General features: G+C 43.1%; 1 protein-coding gene across 20 annotated transcripts in view; it reads right to left on the bottom strand.

Annotated features, from left to right (window-relative positions):
* Positions 1–1,229: 1,229 nt before the first annotated feature.
* The window catches only part of PLEKHB2 (pleckstrin homology domain containing B2), a 44,510-nt gene continuing 22,215 nt past the window's right edge, over positions 1,230–23,524 (bottom strand). For 3 of the 20 annotated variants that reach the window (NM_001309452.2, NM_001100623.2, NM_001309448.2), the window contains 4 exons: positions 20,315–20,354; positions 18,084–18,173; positions 10,800–10,908; positions 1,230–4,438 (listed from right to left, as the gene is read on the bottom strand). In NM_001309452.2, coding sequence (NP_001296381.1) covers positions 4,302–4,438; positions 10,800–10,908; positions 18,084–18,173; positions 20,315–20,354 — 376 coding nt within the window. In that variant the 3' untranslated portion in view covers positions 1,230–4,301. Of the gene's footprint in view, positions 4,439–6,625; positions 6,668–10,799; positions 10,909–18,059; positions 18,174–20,314; positions 20,355–23,524 lie in introns of all 20 variants that reach the window. The other 17 variants (XM_011511385.4, XM_017004408.2, NM_001267062.2 and 14 more) reach the window with 11 other exon arrangements.

Below are 23,524 nucleotides of genomic sequence, written 5' to 3'. Positions count from 1 at the left end.
GACCAAATGACATTTGTGTTGTGTGAACTAACAATTTGCTTGTAATTTGCAACCACTGGCTTTATTAATCAGTAAAAACTGTACAAAGTAAATACAAACCCAACTTCCACCGAGAATTGGCGATACTTGATGATCATGATCTGTCATTAACTACGGCCTGTTATCAGCAGCTGAGGCGAGGGCCATTTCTTCCTGGGTTCAGACGATACTTCCCAGACCTCAAGCACTGAGCCCAGGCCACATGATTAGCCCTCACCACTGGAAGGGGAGCGCCACTCCAGAGCTGAGGATGGGTGTGTCTTCACTGTCTTTTCTTCCAGCAGGTTGTATAAGTTCCCACAGCAGATTCCAAGGCAAAGAGATAAAAGCAGTTTTGGTCCCTGAATGACAGCCTGGAGCAGAAGCCTCTCATCCCTTATGAACCCACAATGGACTGCGACTTGAACAAGAAATAGAGCTTTTCGGTCGAGCGTGGTGGCTCACTCCTGTAATCCCAATACTTTGGGAGGCCAAGGCGGGCGGATCATGAGGTCGGGAGATTGAGACCAGCCTGGCTAACATGGTGAAACCCCATCTCTACTAAAAATACAAAAAATTAGCCAGGTGTGGTGGCGGGCACCTGTAATCCCAGCTACTTGGGAGGCTGAGGCAGAAGAATGGCGTGAACCCAGGAGGCAGAGCTTGCAATGAGCCGAGATGACGCCACTGCACTCCAGCATGGGCAACAGAGTGAGACTCCGTCTCTAAATAAATAAATAAATAAATAAATAAATAAATAAAACAAAAAAGTCATATATCCAAAGATGCTGGAGAAGTTATTGGACACACACTGCCAGAGGGATCTGGTTGGGAAAAATAGTGTCCGTTTTCTCACAGCCATCCCAAGAGTGTGACTGCACGGGCCACTGCTGTTTGTGGAAATCAAATTCTCATATGCACACGGCACAGGGAACAACAAGGCGTTTTAACATCAGATGTGGAGACCTACTACCTGCACGCTCCTGAGTAAATTATTTAACTTCTGAGCCTCGGTCCCTCCAGTGGAACTTGGATAATACCTCCCTTACAGAGTCACTAAGAATTCAGTGAGTTGTCTCTAATGTGACAATATACTAGCATTTGGTAGGTCCTCAATAAATGGCATTCTTATGATCCAGGACAGCAGAAAAAGCTGAGAGTATGTTACTACAAAGTAATTTTTTAAAGACAACAGAAGTCACAATGAAACATGCTTTAAGGTTAATGCTTTAATGTATTGACATTTTCACTTACAAATGTACAATTTGCGTATGTAGGAAAAAATCAGTTCTCTAGACACAACAGAATACTACTAGAGACGGGAAAGCAATCACAAAAAGATCAACTCTGGGGAGAAAGTGGAACTGCATTCCATGCCTTGTATCTACATACACTAGGGAAGGAAAAAGAAATATTACACAGGATCAAAACTTGTGGAAAATACACTTGGGTCATTTTGTCTCAACTGCAGGACCTTCTTATGATCCAGATGGCTACCTTAAGTCCTGGATAGCCTAAAATGGGCAAAGTCTGGCCTTGTTCACAAATGATGATCCAAAACATTAACCACAGTTCTCCTTCTCTTTAGTATCCAAGACCCTGAAGTTGACTCAAGGAATGAAAAGAACAATCAGATCAGCATGTATATAATATCATTGGCCAACTTCTTCAAGGTATGGATTATTTAAAAGTACACATGGAAGTAAAATGCTTACTCAAACCTGAATAAGAAGTTTCTTGTAACTCAAGCACTTCTTGACTCACACTAAGTGTAGCACTGTAAACAAAAGACATCGTTGAGAAACTGAGGCTATCAAAACATTGGCATCTATGGGAGTTGTGGCCAAGGAAATAAAATACCTGAGCAACCTTATACCCAGTATGCATTTCATACCAGGATCAAGTCACTAATGACAGCCAAGTTCCAGGCTTATCTATGGCTGCCTAATGAGACTGGCCCCACTAGGATGGGGACTGGGGAGGGGACACACATGAGTGCCCAAGCTTCAGTCTACACCTCCCCCCTTCAGCCAGAAGCAGCCAGGGGAGCACAGGGACATCTGCTTCAAGAGCATTTTGGCAGCAAAAATCAATACTCTGTGGTTCCTGGAATTCCCACCCAGTAATTCCAAGTTCAAAATTACCACCAGTGCAACATGAAAAACTGTTAATAGTTTTTAAGTAAAGTGTACATACAGCTTTAATAACGATTATAATCTGAAGAAAGCCATTCTTCTTATACAGGATGGAAAATCCTCAAAGCAACATTTTAAACCATGGACACTAGAGTTGTCATACATCTATTCAGAGATGAGAGATAAACAGACATCCTTCCATGTGGAAACAGACACTCCCATGTCAACAAGTCCCCTAGGATCAGAGAGAAAAGCAGACCCGTGGTCATCACTAGGTGTCTCTGGTGTCTCGCTAAAGATGGAGTCCTATGTAGGTTGGCCTAAGTTGGCCTCAGAGGGAGGTGGCTGAGCAGCAAAGCAAGACAGCATGTGTGTAACCAGCCAGGCAAAATAACAAGTCTGTGCTACCTGGAGTGTATTTTCAGGAAAACAGGACCATATGGAGTGTGGGGCAGGGACATTCGCTGTGCTAAACTGCCACTGTAAAAGCACACTGTTGAAAGCATGCAGGACAGAAAACTGCAATAATTCAGAGCTTGAAAACAAGAAATAACAGAAATATGAATATTTCAAATACACACTTCATATACTGAAAATAAGAGCATTTGAAGAAAGGCTGGAATGGGTTTTCCAAAGACTCACACATTTTGGGGTTCCAAATTCAATGTTCTAAGCTTCTCTATCACAAAGAGATCAAGAACAAAAGCAAAGCTGGGGGTCCTGGCCAGGCTGAGTGGTACCTTGAGCCGGTCCCTGTGTCCTGAGGGTCCCTGGGCCCCATATCCCATCCATAACCCAAGTCTGCTCAGCTACAGTCTGCCCTGGTGCTCAGTGAACAGCCACAGAGTCCCACTTCTGCACAGGATGGGCCTTCAGAGTGATGAGAGAGCATCTCCCGCACAGTGCAAACCCCCAAAGGCCAGAAATGGGAACGCTCTAACTAAGGCTCTCCTTCCACTCCCTCACTGTTCCTTTAATATTACTCTCTCAGCAAGTAGAAAAATAGGCTATAAGGAGGCTTAGGCAGACACACACTCAAACAGCCTCTTGGAATAAAGCAAATCTGCCTCCACATACTTGTTTGTATATTGTTCTGGCTTCTCCAGGATTTTTTTTTTTTTTTTGAGACAGAGTCTCACTCTGTCACCCAGGCTGAAGTGCAGTGGCACTATCTTGGCTCACTGCAAGCTCCGCCTCCTGGGTTCACACTATTCTCCTGCCTCAGCCTCCCGAGTAGCTGGGACCACAGGCGCCTGCCACCACGCCCAGCTAATTTTTTGTATTTTTAGTAGAGATGGGGTTTCACCGTGTTAGCCAGGATGGTCTCGATCTCCTGACCTCGTGATCCGCCCGCCTCGGTCTCTCAAAGTGCTGGGATTACAGGCGTGAGCCACCGCGCCCAGCCAGCTTCTCCAAGTTTTAAAGGATTAAAGCCCTCAAACTCTCAGGCTTAAATCAATTCCTAATGTGGGATATGTTCTCCAAGTATGCCTACCAAAGCCATACAAGAATAAAGTGAGCAGCAGCAGCAGCTAGGGTCAGGCAGATTTCTGAAGCATGATTGTTCAAAGGCGGGCTGTGCCCCATCATCCTGAGCCATCGGCCTTGCCAGGGGCCTGTGGAGCCCCAGAGGGCAGGACGGGGGCTCTCACACCATAGCCTCGGGAAGTACCTGGGAGCTTACCAACCCACAACTCCTAAAGTAACATGCAACCAGTTCTGGTCTGTGGTTTGAAAAAGTTAAACGCAAAGAAGCTGTAGCTTTTCTTGCCACAATCACTCAATAGGCATACAACACTATATTACTGGCATAACATGAAAATAAATTAACCCTTAAGCACTACACCTAACTCTAAAAAGAAAATGCCTTTCAAAACAGGTATGCTCAAATAAGGTATTCTGAGAGTTGCACAAGAACAGTCTTGGAATGAGCCAGTGCCCCCGGAGAGTCAACATTTGAACAAAATAGCACAGTTCAAACCCTTCTCTGTGGTACTTATGTGGATTAGTACAATTATGACATCACTACTTTCAAAGGAATGATTAAAACTATTATTAAAAACTTTTGTCACAAACAGAAATGCCCTGCAAATCATATTATTGCACACAGGGTTATCAGAAGCTATGCACATCAAGACCTTGAGGCCCCTAGAAGACCCAAAATAGAGACCCTAAGGCCATGCCCGTGGCTGCTCCTGCCAGCATGCCCAGTGCCAGGTCGCTGTCGTTGTCTCGATAGCGCTCTCGAATGATGACTTGGTTAGCAGGCTGCTGTCCATAAAGTCCTAAAAGAGAAGGAAAATAGCAGATTTCTGAGCAGCGGTTTGTGAAGTTTAACATCACGCAAAGTACCAGTTCTCCTTTCACAAAAGGGATCTGCTGTCTCCTGTCACACTGGCGACCCAGCCCTCCTCCACAACAGGCACATCATGTGGCCGACATCCCTGAAACCGCACACTGGGAGGAAACCAAGATCCTCAGCTCACTAAGGGCCAAAGTCCCTAATCTGCAAAAAGCAGAACCCTAATGAAGCTTTCAGATTCTAGCCTCTGATTTCTACTTCAGCCCTCGACACCATGCTTATTGGGTGGCAGACAAATGGGGAACATGGGAGACACACAGTGCCCAACAAAAGCCCAAAAAGGAAATGCTCACTTAAAGCAAATGAGCTTCTTAGTATGCACGCAAACCAATTTTTAAATTAAGCCTTAAATCTGCACATATAACTTTTTTTTTTTTTTGAGAAGGAGTCTTGCTCTGTCCCCAGGCTGGAGTGCAGTGGCATGATCTCAGCTCACTGCAACTTCCACCGCCCAGGTTCAAGCTATTCTCCCACCTCAGTTTCCTGAGTAACTGGGACTATAGGCGCCCACCACCACGCCTGGCTAATTTTTTGTATTTTTAGTAGAGACGGGGTTTCACCGTGTTAGCCAGGATGGTCTCGATCTCCTGACCTCGTAATCCACCCGCGTCGGCCTCCCAAAGTGCTGAGATTACAGGCATGAGCCACCACGCCCGGCCCGGCCTACTCTTTTTTACTGCATGTCTTTATAGAGAAAAAATAAATATTTATGTTAGAGGTGAAAACTTCAAAAAAACAAACCACAGACAAATTTAGTATTTAATTTGCAAGATTAAAATTTACAACTGGAAATATACTGTTTGCTCTCTTCCATGCTTCACAGCTATAATGCCTAGTAGCTAAGTAGCTTTCAAACTGCTCAGGTATTAATAGCGTTAACTTTCCTCCTTGATCCTCTATTCCTTTAATGGTTCAAAGGCTGGCTGGCCAGGCTTGATGGCTCACACCTGTAATGCCAGCACTTTGGGAGGCTGAGGCAGGTGGATCACTTGAGGCCGGAAGTTTTAGACCAGCCTGGCCAACACAGTGAAACCCTGTCTCTTAAAAAATTACCAAAAAAAAATTAGCCAGGGGTAGTGGCGCATGCCTGTAATCCCATACTGAGGCATGAAAATTGCTTGAACCTGGGAGGCGGGGGCTGCAGTGAGTTGAGATCCTGTCACTGCAATCCAGTCTGGGCAACAGAGTGCAACTCTGTCTCAAACACACAAAAAAAGAAAAGAAAAAAAACTAGTCACTAGTGATGTGCACATGTGGATGAAGAGCAGAAGTGAAACCCGCAGTGGTAACAAAGGTGAACATTTCCAGCCACTTACAGCACTACATACATTGGAATGCTCTTACTCAACTGAGTGCACTTTTATCCCTATTTTGCAGATGGGCAAACTGAGGCACACAGCAGTTAAGGACAGTAAGGGCACACAAACCCAGGCACTCTGGCTACAGTATGCATTTATACCCACTAATGCCTCAAATACAACAGAGGATGATGAATGACAAAACTCAAAAGGCACAGAGTAGTACAATGAAACCATCGTAAATCTAAGGGCTGATCTGGTACAGGTAACAGTACTGGAAGCAAGTGATTATTTTTGCAATGTTTAAATTTCAAAACTAGGGAATTACGGCATTTACTTTCACAGCCCTGACATTTTAAAATGCTCAGTAATGTTAACTCCAACTAGCCAAATGTAACACAATAGAACTTGTGAGCTGACCTAATGAAAAGGTCCCATGGAAAATCTACATTCTGATGCCCCTGCAAGTCATGCTGAGGTCCCCTGGCTGCAGGACCAGGCCACTCTCTTGTGGCTCCTGCTGAGCTCTGCTCCTGCATTGAGCTCAGTCCTTGCCAGAGTCAGCTGTGGATGCTTCCAGGTCACACTTATTATAATTGCCTAATTTAACTAATATTACATAAATGGTCAAAATGTGAATGAGAAAAAGGCAGACACAGTTTCTATGGCAACTAAGATACTACAGGAAAAACTAAATAAAGGAAGGTTACTTTTACAAATTACCATCAAATCAGGGAATTAAGAAAACTATAAAAGATGGGAGGATGGGAGGACTATAGTCCCCAAATCTAGAAGTCTGCTCTTGGACTTACCCCTGGAAACTGCAGTGCAATGACGTGTCATGAGGATGGTCTCTACAAGACAGAAATAGAAGACTCCAACCAAAGGAGCCAACTCAAAGCAAACACCTCAACCCCACATTATAGGAGAGCCGAACGAACACCCACTAGCGGGTTAAATCACAGCACAATGTTTACAATACGTCTACAGTACTCTGTACTTTCTCAATTGGCTGACCAACCACTGGTCCCAATCACACTGAAGAGAGAGCCTTAACCAGCTCTGTGCATGACTAGGAGGGTTCTTGTGGACTAGCTCTAGGCAGTGAGACCCTGGCAGACAGGATGGCATGGAGGTGGCAAAGCACCCATCTGGTTGTCAACACAAGCTGCTGTGTATCGACCACAAACCCATTTGACCCTTCCACAGCAAGCAAGTCTGGGGGCTGCCTGGTCACCACTCTGAGGCAGGCTGGCCATAATGCCTACTGACTCAGCCCCTTATGTGGGCGGCAAGCATTCCGAGTACTGCCTGTGAGAGTGCTACTTCTACTCTACTGACGAGAGCCAAGGGCAAGGATGGACTCATTTCCAGAAGTGCCCTAAACAACCACGTCTGCAATATCTGTGCTCTCTATACAGTAAGAAACAGCGGCAACAGCCCTATTCTGTGGGCTGGAAGCTGAGAAAGAGGCTGGCTCTCATGTGGCAAGGCTAGGGCTTAAAACTCTCCATCCCATGGGATCCCAACAGAAAAATGTGCAAAGGAAAATTATTCATAAAAGGTGATATAAACTAAAGCAACTCGATGATTCCACTTGAGACCTACTGAAGCTATCAAAACTTTTAGAGCACAACAGGCCATCTTTATGGGATCACAGATAAACCACTGCATCAGTAACTGCTAGTGGCATTATAAGTTGGTAAACCATTCTGGGATCAACTTGGCAAAATGCTATCCAGATTTAATGTAATATTAACAGATGAAATGATTAAAAATCTGGGATGTCCCTTAAACTAATCCAGAGGTAGAGAAAGGAGGCTGAGGTAGAGATAAAAGATTAGACATGATATGGTTAACTGCTGAAGCCAGTGATGGACATATGATAGTTCATTATACCATCATCCCTATTTTTTATGTTTGAAAACGTTTACATTTTTAAATCATATCCCAAAAAACCGTCAAAAATGTCTATGCCTTCTGACATGTTAACAGAGATGCTCCTCAACTTACAATGGGGTTACCTCCCAATAAACCCATCATAAGTTGAAAACATCATAGTCAAAATGCATTTAATACGCCTAACCTACCGAACATCATAGCTTAGCATAGCCTACCTTCAACTGCTCAGAGCACTAACATTAGTCTGCAGCTGGGAAAATCAACTAACACAAAGCCTATTATAATCAAGTGTTGAAGATCTCATGTAACTGAATGAGTACTATACTGAAAGTGAAAAACAGAATGGGGGTAGGAGTACCTGAAGTACGGTTTCTACTAAATGTACATTGTTTTCGCACCATCGGAAAGTCAAAAAATCATTAAGTCAAACCATCCTGAGTTGGGGCCTGCCTGCATATAGAGATAGAGTCTAGTTGGGGGGGAGAAAAAAAGAACTAGATTCTAGGCCAGGCACGGTGGCTCACACCTGTAATCCCAGCACTTTGGGAGGTCAAGGCAGATGGATCACCTGAGGTCATGAGTTTGAGACCAGCCTGGCCAACAGGGTGAAACCATCTCTACTAAAAATACAAAGTTAGCCAGGTGTGGTGGCACATGCTACTTGGGAGGCTGAAGCAGGAGAATCTCTTGAACCCAGGAGGCAGAGGTTGCAGTGAGCCAAGATCATGACATTGCACAACAGCCTGGGCAACAAGAGTGAAACTCCATCTCAAAAAAAAAAAAGAAAAAAAAAGAAACATATTCTAATGCATATTCAATAAGAACAAAAAGGAAAATGATTAAAGATGTTCAAAGAAGTATCTACAATAGCAAAAAAAAAGAGAGGAAAAAAACAGCCAATACTGGAAGGTTTAATAATACATCACCCAATATGATAATAGGCAATTACTAAAAATACTTAGGAGTATTACATAGCACTTGGGATTCAATACATATAATTTAAAAACAAGACTAGAAATACAATGCATGATTATAAGGAGAAAATATTTTATATGGAGGAAGTACAGGAGGTCCTCAAATAACACTGTTTCATTTAATGTAGTTTCATTATAACATTGATAAGAAGAAAAGAATGGATTCCCCTCTGGGGCACCGCCTGTGTGGAGTGTGAAGGTTTTTTCCATGTTTGCATGGTTTTCTTGGGATAGTTCAGTTCCTTCCCATCCCAAAGATGTGCCCCTTAGGTGAATCGGCGTATCTAAACTGTCCCAGAGTGAGAGGGGGTGTGGGTGAGTGTGCCCTGCAATGAGATAGCATCCTATCCATGGTGGATTCCCACCTTAAGCCCTGAGCTGCTGGGAGAGGGTCCAGCCACCCATGGGCCATGAACTGAAATAACTAGGTAATTATTTTACTTGTCTTTATTAATCTTACATGTATGTATGGCTCACATTAATTTCAATGGTTAATATTAGAAGTGGTGATGTTTTTGTGACCAGAAATAAGCAACAGAAACTTAACTCTTGTTTATACCAATTAGTCTACCATAAAATTGGTTTCATCATATGTTGTTTCATGGAAAGTAACAGTTTCCAAGAATCTACTGTTGATGTTAAGTGAGGACTTACTGTAATTCAAACAAATGTATTTGTGCTAGGCTCACAAGACAATGGACAAATATTTAATCTGTCATAATTACTTTTTTTTTTTTTTTTTTTTTGAGACGGAGTCTCGTTCTGTCGCCCAGGCTGGAGTTCAGTGACACGATGTCGGCTCACTGCAAGCTCCGCCTCCCGGGTTCATGCCATCCTGCAGCCTCAGCCTCCCGAGTAGCTGGAACTATAGGTGCCCGCCACCATGCCCAGCTAATTTTTTTGTATTTTTAGTAGAGATGGGGTTTCACTGTGTTAGCCAGGATGGTCTCGATCTCCTGACCTCATGATCCACCCGCCTCAGCCTCCCAAAGTGCTGGGATTACAGGCGTGAGCCACCGTGCCCGGACTACTTATTATCATTTTAATGGTTTTCAACTTGACATGAAAAAAAGTCAAGCAAAGCAGGATCCTCCAAAGTCCGTGCTAGTTGAGTGAATGTGCCTCAGATTCCCAGAACACAGGAGTATGAGATTTCTCTATTTCTACTCCAGAATCCATTTTAAGTGCTAAATGCATCAAAAGCCAAAGCAACCACCAACAACTACAAGGACACCATCTAAGATTGTAACCCAGAGGCCTCCTTGACTTCTCTGGGCACCACTATTAGTGACCCACGTTTCTGGTACCAGCTCGTCTCCCACTGCCTCTGCGCTGAGACACCATGCTAGTTTTGCTCACAGCCCGGGACTACTCCTCCTCCTGCAAACCCCCACATTCCTGTCTCTCCTGAGCTCAGCCTCTGGCTCCAGCCCACCCACCTGTGCATCCTGCACTATGGTGCTGTGCCCACTGCGCCTGCCCAGCCTCACTTCACAGTGGCCATCGGCCACAGCTCTGCCCTCCCCACCCTCACTGCAGTTCCAGCAGTGGCCAGCATTGTCCCACACCTCCACCCTGCCAACCCCCTTGCCCAGGAGACCTGGACATGATACCTCTACACCAGTTACTCATGCCTGCCAAGTGTTTCATGTGAGGTGAAGAACAGAAAGAACAGACTCCAAGCCCAGAATAAATACAAGCCCTTCCAGGCCTGTACTCCACTGTGAAACAGAACATCACCTCAGTAGTGACAACTTTCCAAGGACATCACCAGAAGGAGAACAGCTGAAAGGTCACCTCTCATCCCTTAAAATAGGCCTCTTACTTTGGTTGCTTCTTAATGTAAGTGAATCCCAATAAGTACAAAATTCTCTGAGAACTAATCTACACACAAAAGCCAAGTTCTAAAAATCAAGCCTACGGTAGCTTTGCAGAGCAGTATGAAACTACCAAAGGCTTTCTTAAAGCATAGTAACAGAGTGATTTGTAGTCTACAACCAGAAAATATAGCTCATGTAACCTTAAACTGAAAAATAAAAACGTTTACAGGTCTCTCTGGTCTACTCAGCAAATGGAGAGAAATGAGGAATGAAAGGCCGGCGTGAGTTACCTGCATATGGGTACTGGTAGGGCACGGCATACGCCTGCCCATTCGCAGCGTAGACAACTTGAGTTCCTGGCGGGTACGCACCACCGTATGGCCCATAGCCATAAGCCTGCTGAAAAGAAACAGGCCCATTAGAAATACAATTGTGAAACCTCTGGTAATGTATTAAAATTGTGGTCTCCAGGTTGCAATCAATAAAATTCAACAGTCAATTAAAAAAAACAAAACAAAACATGAAACAGTGTGGTTAGGCCCCCCGTTTTAAAATTACTAAAAAACAAACAAAAGCTACAATTGGAGTCCACTTTCAGGCTACAGAATGAAGAAGGCAGAAAAACACAACAAAAGAAGAGAACTGGACTTGCATGAGATTTGGATTTCAATTCAGCTGTGCTGTTAACCTGACCTTCAGTAAGTCACCTGGGCCTTCCTTTGCCCATCTGTAAAATGATAAGGTTGGACCAGGTGATAATGAGATTCACCAAAACCACTATTCTGCAGGCAAAGCCAGCCTAGAAGCGGAACCCTCTCTGGCCCAAATTCAGCAATTCCAGGCACAATATGGAAGATGAGGGTGCCCTGAGGTGTGGCACCTGGGCAGGTGACTGATGGTGTTCTGGCTGCACACACCTATGAAAAGACATGGCGAGAAACATGCAGCAGACCCACCTCCACTGGCAGTGAATGACCACTGTGTGCTGAGAAATACTGAAATCAAAGACTGGCCTTCCTTGCATACTCACAGGTTGAGAGGAGATCAGACATACTTGCACAACTAATGTCGTTCTGTGACAAGTGCTCTGATAAGGGAGAACAGAGTTGTAGCCAGGCAAACATGTGTGTAGATCTAAACCTGTTATCTTACAAAAGCAGGAGACAAGACTCCCACTTCTAGAAGATGGAGTAGACATTCTTTCTTGTAGTCCTCCTGCTAAGTACAGCTACAATCTCTGGTCATTATATACAAAGCAAACACAAGAAGACTGAAGAGAGAGAAGACAGACGGGAGAGGAACTTTAGCACCTGAGGGAGGACCTGGGTTTCCTTTTTGCTTCACACATCCCAAACTAGATAATGGGGAAGGTGGCAAGCTGGAAGTGCCGATCAGTGCAGACCAAAAAGACCCTGAGAAGAGCTGCTCTCTTTAACAAAGAATCTAAGAAGGAAAGGGGCAACCTAGCAAGACAGAACATTTTTAGACAATAACCTCTCTACTCCAGGGAACCACCACATAAAAGCCTTCAGCCTCACATCAGCAAACGCCAAGTGTGAAGAGCCTGAATTTCCATGCTCAGCAGGCCAAATAGCAAGGCACTGCCGGGCCTTCAGAACACCGTCAAATAAGACTGAGTGGGGGGCTGAGAATTTCTTCCCCACCAGATGGAAACAAAACACCCCCATCCTGCTGGGTGGTGTCCATGAAGACCATGTGGGGAGCCAGAACCCCACTCCCACCCAGCAGAAATAAGGTGTCCTCCCTATTCCACTGAGATGGGATCAGCAGAGACCAAGTGGAAAGTGAGTCCTTTCAGGACCTCTCAGTGGCAATCATGGTATCAGTGGAGGCTACGGGGGAAGCAATAAGAAAGAGCCTTTCCTCTTCTCAGACAGGGTGGGCTCAGTGGAGATCTAGTCAGAACCTAAATTCACAACCCCCTCTGCAGTGACAAGAAACCTGGCCCATGGGTGTCAACTGAGGCTCAAGGCGAGCCCGGACTTCCACCTCTACCTGGCAGCAATAAAGCAGCTCCCCAGAAGGAGGTCTGCTAAAACATGAGATTTAAATAAGATTCAGAGTCTTACAGTACTTAAAATGTCCAGCTTTTGATCAAAAGCCATTTATACCAAGAACCAGGAAGACCTCAACTAAATGAGAAAAGACAACAACAAAACACACTAACACAAAGATGACAAAGATTTTTAAAGCAGCTATCATAAAAACCTTTCAACAAGCAATTATGAACACACTTGAAATAAATAAAAAATTTAAAGTATCTACCATAAAACAGAAAAATCTCAGTAAAAAGTATATAAAGACATACATTCAATTTTTTATATATCAAGATATAAAGAATAACCAAATAAAAATTTCAGAACTAATAAATACAATAACCAATTTAAATAGTTCAATGAATGGGCCCAACAACATAATGGAGATGACAAAGGAAAGAATCCATAAACATGAATATAAAGGGTAGAAATTACCCAATCAGAGCACAACAGAGGAACAATAGATTGAAGTAAAAAAAAAAAAAAAAAAAAATGAGCATCTCTGGGACACATGAGACTAACAGGGATGTTATCAGAGTGCCAGAAGGAGAGTAGAAAGTGGCTGAGGTTGGAAAAGCACTCAAGAATAATGATTTAAAATTTCCCAAATTTAGCAAAACCCCAAGCCTATATATTCAAGAAGCTGAATGAATACCAAACAGGATAATCCCAAAGAAATCCACACAAATACACATTATAGTCAAACTTTTGAAAACCAAAGTCCACAGAGCAAGCAGAAGGAAAGAAATAAAAGAATAGAATCAATGAAATTGAGAGACAGAAAAAGTGAATAAAACGAAAAGCTATTTCTTTGAAACTATTCATAAAATTAATAAAACCTTTAGTAAACTATCAAAAAGAGCAAAGACAAATTACCAGTATCAGGAATGAATGAACTGGAGGATTTTTACTATAGACTCTGCAGACATCACAAGGATAATAAGAAAACACCATAAAGAACTCTACACATCTAAGTCAGACAACCTATAAGAAAAGGAACAATTCCACAAAAACTACAAACTGTCAAAACCTACTCCATACAAACTAGAGAATTTGAGTAGACCAGTCACTAATAAGAAAGCTGTATCTGCGGTGGACCCAGAAGAAAGGTCATGTGAGGATACAGGGAGGAGGAGGCCATGTGCAAGCGCAGGAGGGGCCTCAGGAGAACCAATGCTGCCCAACACCTTGACCTTGGGCTTTCAGCCTCCAGAACTGTGACAAATAGATGTGTGTTGGTTAGGCCAAAAAAAGTAAAAAGAGGCCGGGCACAGTGGCTCACGCCTGTAATCCCAGCACTCTGGGAGGCCGAGGCGGGCAGATCACGAGGTCAGGAGATCGAGACCGTCCTGGCTAACACAGTGAAACCCCGTCTCTACTAAAAATACAAAAAAATTAGCCGGGTGTGGTGGCAGGCGCCTGTAGTCCCCGCTACTCAGGAGGCTGAGGCAGAAGAATGGCGTGAACACGGGAGGCGGAGCTTGCAGTGAGCCGAGATCACGCCACTGCACTCCAGCCTGGGCGACAAGAGTGAGACTCCGTCTCAAAAAAAAAAAAAAAGAAAGAAAAGAAAGAAAAAAAGAAAAAAGATGTTGTCACTTAAAATCTCCCAAAAAAGAAATCTCCAAGCCCTGACAGTTTCACTGGAGATTTCTACCAAATTTTAAAGAAGAATTAATGCCAATTCTACACAATTTCTCCCAGAAAAGAAAAGAGCAGAAAACACTTTCCAATTTATTCTATAAGGTCAGTATTGCCTTGATAAAACAAAACAAAGTACAAAAAAAGAAAACTATAGACCAATATCCCTCATAAATATAGACGCAAAAATCCTTAACAAATATTAGCAAACTGAATTCAGCAATAAATAAAAAGAATCATACACCATGACCAAGTAGGCTTTATTCCAGGGAATGCAAGGCTGGTTCAGTATGTGAAAACCAAACACTATAATCCACCATATTAGCAGGCTAAAAAGAAAAGAAAAATCTCATGATCATATTAATTACTGTAGAAAAAGTATTTAACAAAATCACTTTGGGAGGCCCAGGCAGGAGGATTGTTTGAGGCCAGGAGTTCAAGACCACCCTGGGCAACAGAACAAGACCCTGTCTCTACAACAAAAAAAAAAAATTTTTTTGCAGCCATGGTGGCTCAGGAGGCTGAGGCAAGAGGATTGCCTCAGCCCAGGAATTCCAGGCTGAAGTGAGCTAATGATAGTACCACTGCACTCCATCCTGGGCAAGAGAGTGAGACCTCATCTCTCAGGGGGTCAGGGGAGAGAGGAGAGGAGAGGAGGAGAGGGGACGGGCGGGGGAAAGGAGAGAGGGAGGGAGGGAGGGAGGGAGGAGGCAGGAAGACAGGCAGGCAAGCAACTGACAACCAGTCATGATAAACACTCCTGGAAACTAGAAAAAGGGAATTTCTAAACCTGATAAAGAATAAATATAAAAAACCTCCAGCTAACAGCATACTTAATGAATGCATTAAATACTAAATATATGCATATGTAAAACTAAATACTGAATTCAGTACTAATTAAATACTGAATTAAACAGTACATTCATAATAAATGAATGCATACTTAAAACTGAATACACTGGCCGGGCGCGGTGGCTCACGCCTGTATTCCTAGCACTCTGGTAGGCCAAGGTGGGTGGATCACAAGGTCAGGAGATCGAGACCATCCTGGCTAACATGGTGAAACCCCGTCTCTACTAAAAATAAAAAAAATAAAAAAATTAGCCGGGCATGGTGGCAGGTGCCTGTAGTCACAACTACTAGAGAGGCTGAGGCAGAATGGTGTGAACCCGGGAGGCGGAGCTTGCAGTGAGCCGAGATCTCGCCACTGCACTCCAGAGCCTGGGTGACAGAGCGAGACTCCATCTCAAAAAAAAACACTGAATACATCCCCCCTAAAATCAGGAACAAGGCAAGGATGTCTTCTCTCACTACTGCTATTCTACATAATATTTGAAGGTCTAACCAAGGCAACAAGGCAAGGTAAGGAAACAGAAGGCATAAAGGTTACAAAGAAAACAGATTCCTATTTGTAGATGACATGATTGCCTATGTAGTATATCCCAAAGAATCTACAGAAAAAGGAAATAGAGTAAGTGAGCTTAGAAAGTTTACAGGCGCCGACCAGGCACCATGGCTCATGCCTGTAATCCCAGCACTTTGAAGGCCAAGGCAGGTGGATCACCTGTGGTCAGGAGTTTGAAACTAGCCTGGCCATCATGGTGAAACCCCATCTCTACTAAAAATACAAAAAATTAGTGTGGTGGCACGTGCCTGTAATCCCGGCTACTCAGGAGGCTGAGGCAGGAGAATCGCTTGAACCCAGGAGGCGGAGGGTGCAGTCAGCCAAGATCGCGCCACTGCACTCCAGCCTGGGCAATAAGAGAGACACTCTGTCTCAAAAAAAAAAGAGAAAGTTTACAAGCTGCAAGATCAACCTACAAAAATCAATTCTATTTCTCTATACTGGCAGTAAACAAAGGAAACTAAAACTAAAAATGTAATACCATATGCAATCACTAAAAAAACTGAAACACTTATAAATCTAACAAAACATGTATGGGATTTTTATACTGAAAACCTCAAAATGCTGATGAAAAAAATCAAAGAGGATCTAAATACACATGCAGTCCATGTTTATAACTGGAAGATTCAACATTCAATAAAGATGTCATTACTCTCCAAATAAATATGACACAGGTTTAAGGCAATTCCTGCAAAAGCCTTGCAAGATTTCATTGTAGATATAAACAAATTTATTCTAATGTATATGGAAAGCTAATGGAACCAGAATAGCTAAAACATTTCCAAAAAGGAACAAAGAGGGTGTTGATCAGTCCACCCAGTTCCAAGACTTTTTATAATAGCTGCAATAATTAAGACTGTGTGGGATCAAAGGAAGGTAACAATACAGAACAATGGAGCAGACCACAGACCTCAGAAAGAGATACACTCAACAGAGCCCTGAAAAAGACATCTATCTTATAAAAAATTAATTCAAAATTAATACAGAATAATTATAAAACCTCACTATAAAACTTTCAGAAAATAATGTAGGAGAAAATCTTAGGAAACTTGGGCTAGGTTTGTCATGTTAAGTTTTAACCTGACAGCAAAAGCACAACCGAGAAAAGGAAAAGCCAATAAATCAGCTCATGCCTGTAATCCTAGCTCTTTGGGAAGCTGAGGCAGGAGAACCGCTTGAACCCGGGAGGTGGAGGTTGTGGTGAGCCGAGATCGTGCCACTGCACTCCAGTATAGGCAACAAAAGCGAAACTCCATCTCAAAAGGGCCGGGTGCAGTGGCTGACACCTGTAATCCCAGCACTTTGGGAGGCCGAGGTGGGCGGATCATGAGGTCAGGAGATTGAGACCATCCTGGCTAACACAGTGAAACCCCGTCTCTACTAAAAATACAAAAAATTAGCCGGGCGTGGTGGCGGGCGCCTGTAGTCCCAGCTACTCGGGAGGCTGAGGCAGGAGAATGCCGAGAACCCAGGAGGCGGAGCTTTTAGTGAGCCGAGATCGAGCCACTGCACTCCAGCCTGGGCGATAGAGCAAGACTCCATCCCAAAAAAAAAAAAAAAACCACTCAGCAATAAAAAGGATTATTGACAAAGAGCAACTTGGACAGATCTCAAGGGCAAATACTGAGTGAAAAACGTTAAACTCCCAAGACCACGTGCTATATGATTTCATTTATATGACATTGTTGAAATGATAAAACTATAGAGCTGGAGAACAGTTCAGTGATTGACAGGGTTTAGGGAAGCAGAGGGATGGCATGACTATTAAAGGGTGTCACAGCAGGAAGATTTTGTGAAGAATTCTTTATCTTGATTGAGGTGGTAGCTACACAATCTACACGTATGAGAAAATGACACAGGATTACTCTTAAATACCACACCAATTCCAAATTCCTGGGTTTAATTTGATCGAATATTAACAAATGGGGAAAACACATAAAAAGCACATGAGACTCTCAAAGCTATCTTTGCAACTTCTTGTGAATCTATAATTATTTCAAAATTCAATTTTTTTAAAAGCTGCGTGTTCCACACAACAGACTTACATACGTTCCACTAGCTCAGTCAGCACCCCAACAAGAGGACATCCCAATGTATTTGACATGATTTTTTAAGGTTATTTTCCCTAAAATATAGCATTTTTTTCTGACTATAAGGAGAATTCAAATAATTCATTCCATATAAACTACAGATCATCAAAATCTCATTACCCAAGGCAACTATCATTAACATGATGCATTTTTAGATCTATCTTAAAAACGTGTTACACATTAATACAGCACATTATAATGTGCTGAACTATATAAAATAGTTGCTTCATTTCATGAAAACAAACGTTGATAAGAAATCATCTGTTTTAAGAAGAAAAGGTTTAGAGTACATTTCTAATTTCATTTAAAAAAACAAAACAAAGCAGGACAGCAGCAGAGACCCCAAACTTCCCTCACCTGGAGGCTCAGGGTTCTCCCTACCTCAGGGGCCGGTGCAGCATAGGCCGTGTATGGTGGAGGTGAGGAAACCACGGATGTCTCATCGGTCATGACTGCAGAGCCCACATACGCCTGCGGGAGACAGGAGAGGGTGAGGACAGGACAGCTTCCCAGCAGCTGTGTGCTCGATGCTGTGCATTGTCCCTTTTATTTAGCAAATTAAAAATTTAAAAAAACAAAAAGATACATAGCTCTCTGCAAAACAGGAAAAACTCCCCCAGTCCAGTGGGGGCCCCCACCCCTATTCTGGTATCCTCTAAATGCAAGAGCAAAGTGGTCCTCACTCGGCCCCTAACAGGACTACAGCTCTCACAGCCAGGAAGGCACTCAGAGGCCCCACTGTTACCCAATGCCTTTTAAAAGATGTTACATCAGGCCAGGTGCAATGGCTCACACCTATAATCCCAACACTTTGGGGAGGCTGGGTGAGAGGATCACTAGAGCCCAGGAGTTCCAAGGCCAGCCTAGGCAACAGAGGGAGAGCTCATCTCTACAAAAAACAAGAAATTAACTGGGCATGGTGCTTATGGCCCCAGCTACTCAGAAGGCTAAGTCTCAAGGATCACTCGAGCCCAGGAGCTCGAGACTGCAGTGAGCCAAGATCAAGTCACTGCACTCCAGCCCAGGCAACAAGGCGAGACTGTCTCCAAAAAAATAAAGATGTTACAGCACTCTCAACAGTCCTTTATTCACAAATAAAAACTCTACAATCTAAAATGTATCAAGAGATATGTCCTATACATAAGTCTGTTTTTTACCTTAAAAAACAAAATTCTTCATTAAATTACTCCCCAGTATAATTTAAAGAAAAACATGTTAGCTCTTTAAAAAAAAAGAAAAAGTGGCCAGGCGCAATGGCTCATGCCTTTAATCACAGCATTTTGGGAGGCCAAGGCAGGCAGATCACTAGGTCAGGAGTTGAGACCAGCCTGACCAACATGATGAAACCCCATCTCTACTAAAAATACAAAAATTAGCTGGGCGTGGTGGCACGTGCCTGTAATCCCAGCTATTCAGGATTCTGAGGCAGGAGAACTGCTTGAACCCAGGAGGCAGAGGTTGCAGTGAGCCGAGATCGCTCCACTGCACTCTGGCCTGGGCGACAGAGTGAGACTGTCTCAAAAAAAAAAAATCCACACAAAGAATCATTTGGGGAGCTTGCCCTTAACTGTATGGATTGTTAATGCTAATTTTACCCAAAAAAAAAAAAAAAAAGGGGGATTTTCATGAAGAAAAGGTAACTGCGGCTGTAGAGTAAGCTTAGAATGAAGTTGTTGTGTGCTAACAAAGGAAGAGAACACTGACGCTATTAGGATATTAAGCCTTTTACTTTCTTCTCCCACATGCACACATTCTTCTGTAAGCTTGATCCACCTTCTTCTTTTCTTACAGATTAATAAAGGAGAGAAAAATCCCATCTAAAGAATGAAAACTCTGACCAGAGTAACACACTCCCTTGATCACTGACAGATAAAGACAGCATTACGAGGCTCTACAAATGAGGTTCACTGTCTCAGTGACCTCCTAAGGCCAGAAACAGGACGAGAGACAAGTACAAGTCACAAAAATGTTTGTTTCACAGGCTGAGCTCCCATGCGTGAAAAGGATCCTGCAGTTCTTTCTAAGCCTTTACTGCAAACCACAGCACAATTCAAAGTGTTGCAGAACTTTGAGAAATACAAGCATTTCTAGAAAGCAACACTGGAACAAGCATGCCTGTAAGAGCAGGGTGCCTCCTGCCAAACATTTGACAAACCCAGCTTGCTCACTGTTGGCAAAAGGCGCCCTGCCCAGCACTACCTGCCCATTCGTGGCCAGATGGTCAAGAAACCCGTTTTCCCCATTCTCCAATTGTTACACAAGACCATGTGAAAACATTACTGGTGGCCGGGTGTGGTGGCTCATGCCTGTAATCCCAGCACTTTGGGAGGCGAAAGTGGGAGGATCACTTGAGCCCAGAAGTTGGATACCAGCATGGGTAATATAGTGAGACTTCGTCTCTACAAAAAAATTTTTTCAAATAAGCTGGGCGTGGTAGCATGGGCCTATAGTCCCAGCTACTGGGAAGGGGAGGCTGAGGTGGGAGGACTACTTGAGCCCGAGAGGTAGAGGCTGCAGTGAGGTGAGACAGCACCACTGCACTCAAGCCTGAGTGAGAGTGACACCTTGTCAAAAAAAAAAAAAATTATTGGTGATTGCCATTAGCAACTTACTGTGTTTGTCCTAGAATCTTGGAGTGTAAATTTCCAGGCCCTGGAGAAAAGAAAAAGGGTACTTTATTTAAGGCAATCCAACATTGCAATGATTCTGAAACCTGGGCTGGCATCAGAATTCCTGAAAAGATCTGTTTAAAAAACAAGTCTTCAGGCTTTGCCCCAAACCACTTGAGACATGCACTAGGAATATATATTTTTAAAAATTACATACATAATAGATATGTAATATTTAAAACATAATCTATACTATACTTTTTACTTTACTTTTTAATAAATGTGAAATGTACTGCCACTTGCTTTGTCAGTTCATGGCATACACACAGATCTACTTCCTTTTTACCAGCTATATAATATTCCACGATATGAGTAAAAAATTTAGATTAGCAATTTTTCAACATTAAAAAGAATGCTGGGGACCGGATGTAGTGCCTCATACCTGTAATCCCAGCACTATGGGAGGCCAAGGCAGGGGGATCACTTGAGCCCAGGAGTTCAAGACCAGCCTGGGCAACATAGTGAAATCCTAGCTCTACAAAAAATATAAACATTAGCCGGGCATGGTGGCGCATGCCTGCAGTCCAAGCTACTTGGGAGGCTGAGGTGGGAGAATAGCTTGCGCCTGGGAGGTCGAGGCTGTAGTGAGCCAAGATCACACCACTGCACTCTAGCCTGGATGAGAGAGAGGGGCTCTATCTCAAGAAAAAAAAAAGAAGAAAAGAATGCTATTAACATCCCTATTACCCTTACACTCTTATGTAAACATCTCCACAGGGCAAATTCCAAAGACTGAAAATACCACATCAAAGGATAAAAACATAATTTATTTCAGCAGGTATTGCCAAAATGCCCTGCAAAACGATTCTAACAATCTCTATACCTACCAACTTTACACTATATTGTCAAAAAAAACTAGATATCTGAACCTTAAGTATCACAAGAGCTTTCTTAATTCATAGGCAAAAAGCAGTCTCTCACGCCTGTAATCCCAGCACTTCGGGAGGTCAAGGTAGGTGATCACCTGAGGTCAGGAGTTCGAGACCAGCCTGGCCAACATGGTAAAACCAAGCTTCTACTAAAAACACAAAATTAGCTGGGCGTGGTGGCACATGCCTGTAATTTCAGCTACTCCAGAGGCTGAGGCAGGAGAAGTGCTTGAACCCGGGAGGCAGAGGTTGCAATGAGCGGAGATTATACCATTGCACTCTAGCCTGGGCAACAAGAGCGAAACTCCATCTCAAAAAACAAAATAGTGTTCTCTTGTGCACTCCCTCACTCCTTTACCCCTTACTTTTCTTACTGACCCTATCCCTCTTATCTTCATCAATTCCTTTTATGTTTTATTCTCATTTTACTATCTCCCTGAGTTGAAAGATTCATTCACTTATTTTCAAGTGTTCTGGCTTTCTTTTTTTTTTTTTTTTTTTTTTTTTTTTGAGATGGAGTCTCACTCTGTTGTCCAGGCTGGAGTACAGTGGTGTGATCTTGGCTCACCGCAACCTCCACCTCCCAGGTTCACGCCATTCTCCTGCCTCAGCCTCCCAAGTAGCTGGGATTACAGGTGCCTGCCACCACGCCTGGCTAATTTTTGTATTTTTAGTAGAGACGAGGTTTCACCATGTTGGCCAGGCTGGTCTCGAACTCCTGACCTCAGGTGATCCATCCGCCTTGACCTCCCAAAGTGCTGGGATTACAAGCTTGAGCCACCACACCCAGCCCAAGTGTTCTAGCTTTCTAAGGAATGCAGTTAAGTTGCAAAATTCCCCAACTGATTTTGTATGTGGCATACCATTGTCATTCACTTTGCTAAAGGGTATCATACTGGATTATTCATATATCTTATATAGATTTTGTTGTCATATCAGGTGGAAGAGTCTAGTAGGGACTTTGGTCTGCCAATTCAGTTCGATTATTTCAGAACATTTTTCTTGCCTTAGATTTGTAATTCTCTCTTTTGGGTTGTACACTTTATGGACATCAATAATCTTTCTGAACTTTTTTTAGTCTAACATATCTCTGATCTTTTCATCTTTTTCCTGTCACTGAGAGTATCTCCAGTCTTTTCTTCCATGCCAATGATTCACTTTTCATTTGGGGTTGTATTGAAGGGAAGACCACTTTCTTCAGATTATAACGTGAATGGCACCCTCTTGACAGCAACAGACCTTCTAAGTTACAGACACAAAAGAGCAGAAAAGAAACATAAATCTCTGCCCTCACACAGCATATATTCTAATGAAAGCAGATGATGAACAAGATAAATAGTTGATAGATGGTGAGTGTGTATGGGGACAGGGAGATACAATTTTAAATATGGTGGCCAGGAAAGCATTCCTGAAGACTCTGCTCCTGTTTCTTGGGTTTTATTTTCCTCCACTCTAGGAGCTTTTCCTGAGGCTTGCATTTTCCTTTTCTTATTTTTCCTTCATGGTATATCTGCATAGTTGCCAAGCCACTTCTTTACATCCTGCTCACGTTTAACATGGGAAGTGATATCTAAAACTGCTGTTTGCTCTCATAAAGTATGAGTTATTTCTCCTTGACACGCTTCCTACCTAATCTGGTATCAACTGGTAGTTCCACCCTGTTCTACCTCAGTCCAGCCCAGCAACAGTTTGATGGCTAGGTGTTACCCTCACAATCAACATTCTGTAATCTGAGGGCACAGGGCTAGAAGAGAAGGACATTTCTTCTGAGACCGAGTAAGTCTTTTCTGAAAACTCTGGGTCCTACACTCTCTTCTGAGCATATTCCTTTGAATGTCCCATGCTAGGGCTCACTTCACCAGACAGAAAATTACCCAACTCCTGTGAGCTTCAGTGCCTTTCACTGCCCTGCAATGATGAGTCCTGGGAGAACCGTCCAGCCTCTGCTGAGGCCCCAAGGACATCACATTCTTAAGGATTTTTTCCCTAGCTTTTCCAAAAAGTAACTTACACTTAATCAGCATCACTCCAGATTACAGGGTAATACTGAAAATTTGCAAGATTTAATTAACTCATCTTGTCACTGCTTCTGGGATTCGGGTAGGATTGAAGAACATCTCAGTAGAATCATCTATTTCTTTCTTTAACTGTTTGTAGTTTGTGCTTGAGATCAAACTTCTTTATTTGGTTGCACCATTGAAATGTTTTCCCCTCAGGGAAGATGATCTCTAATCCATTTCACCATCTTTCTCAAAAGTCTCTATTATGGGTTCAATTGTGTCCT

This window comes from Homo sapiens, chromosome 2, assembly GCF_000001405.40.
Source record: "Homo sapiens chromosome 2, GRCh38.p14 Primary Assembly".
In the NCBI taxonomy this organism is placed as follows: Eukaryota; Metazoa; Chordata; class Mammalia; order Primates; family Hominidae; genus Homo; species Homo sapiens.
Note: the sequence above shows the minus strand (reverse complement) of the source record. Positions and strands in the feature narration are given on the sequence as shown.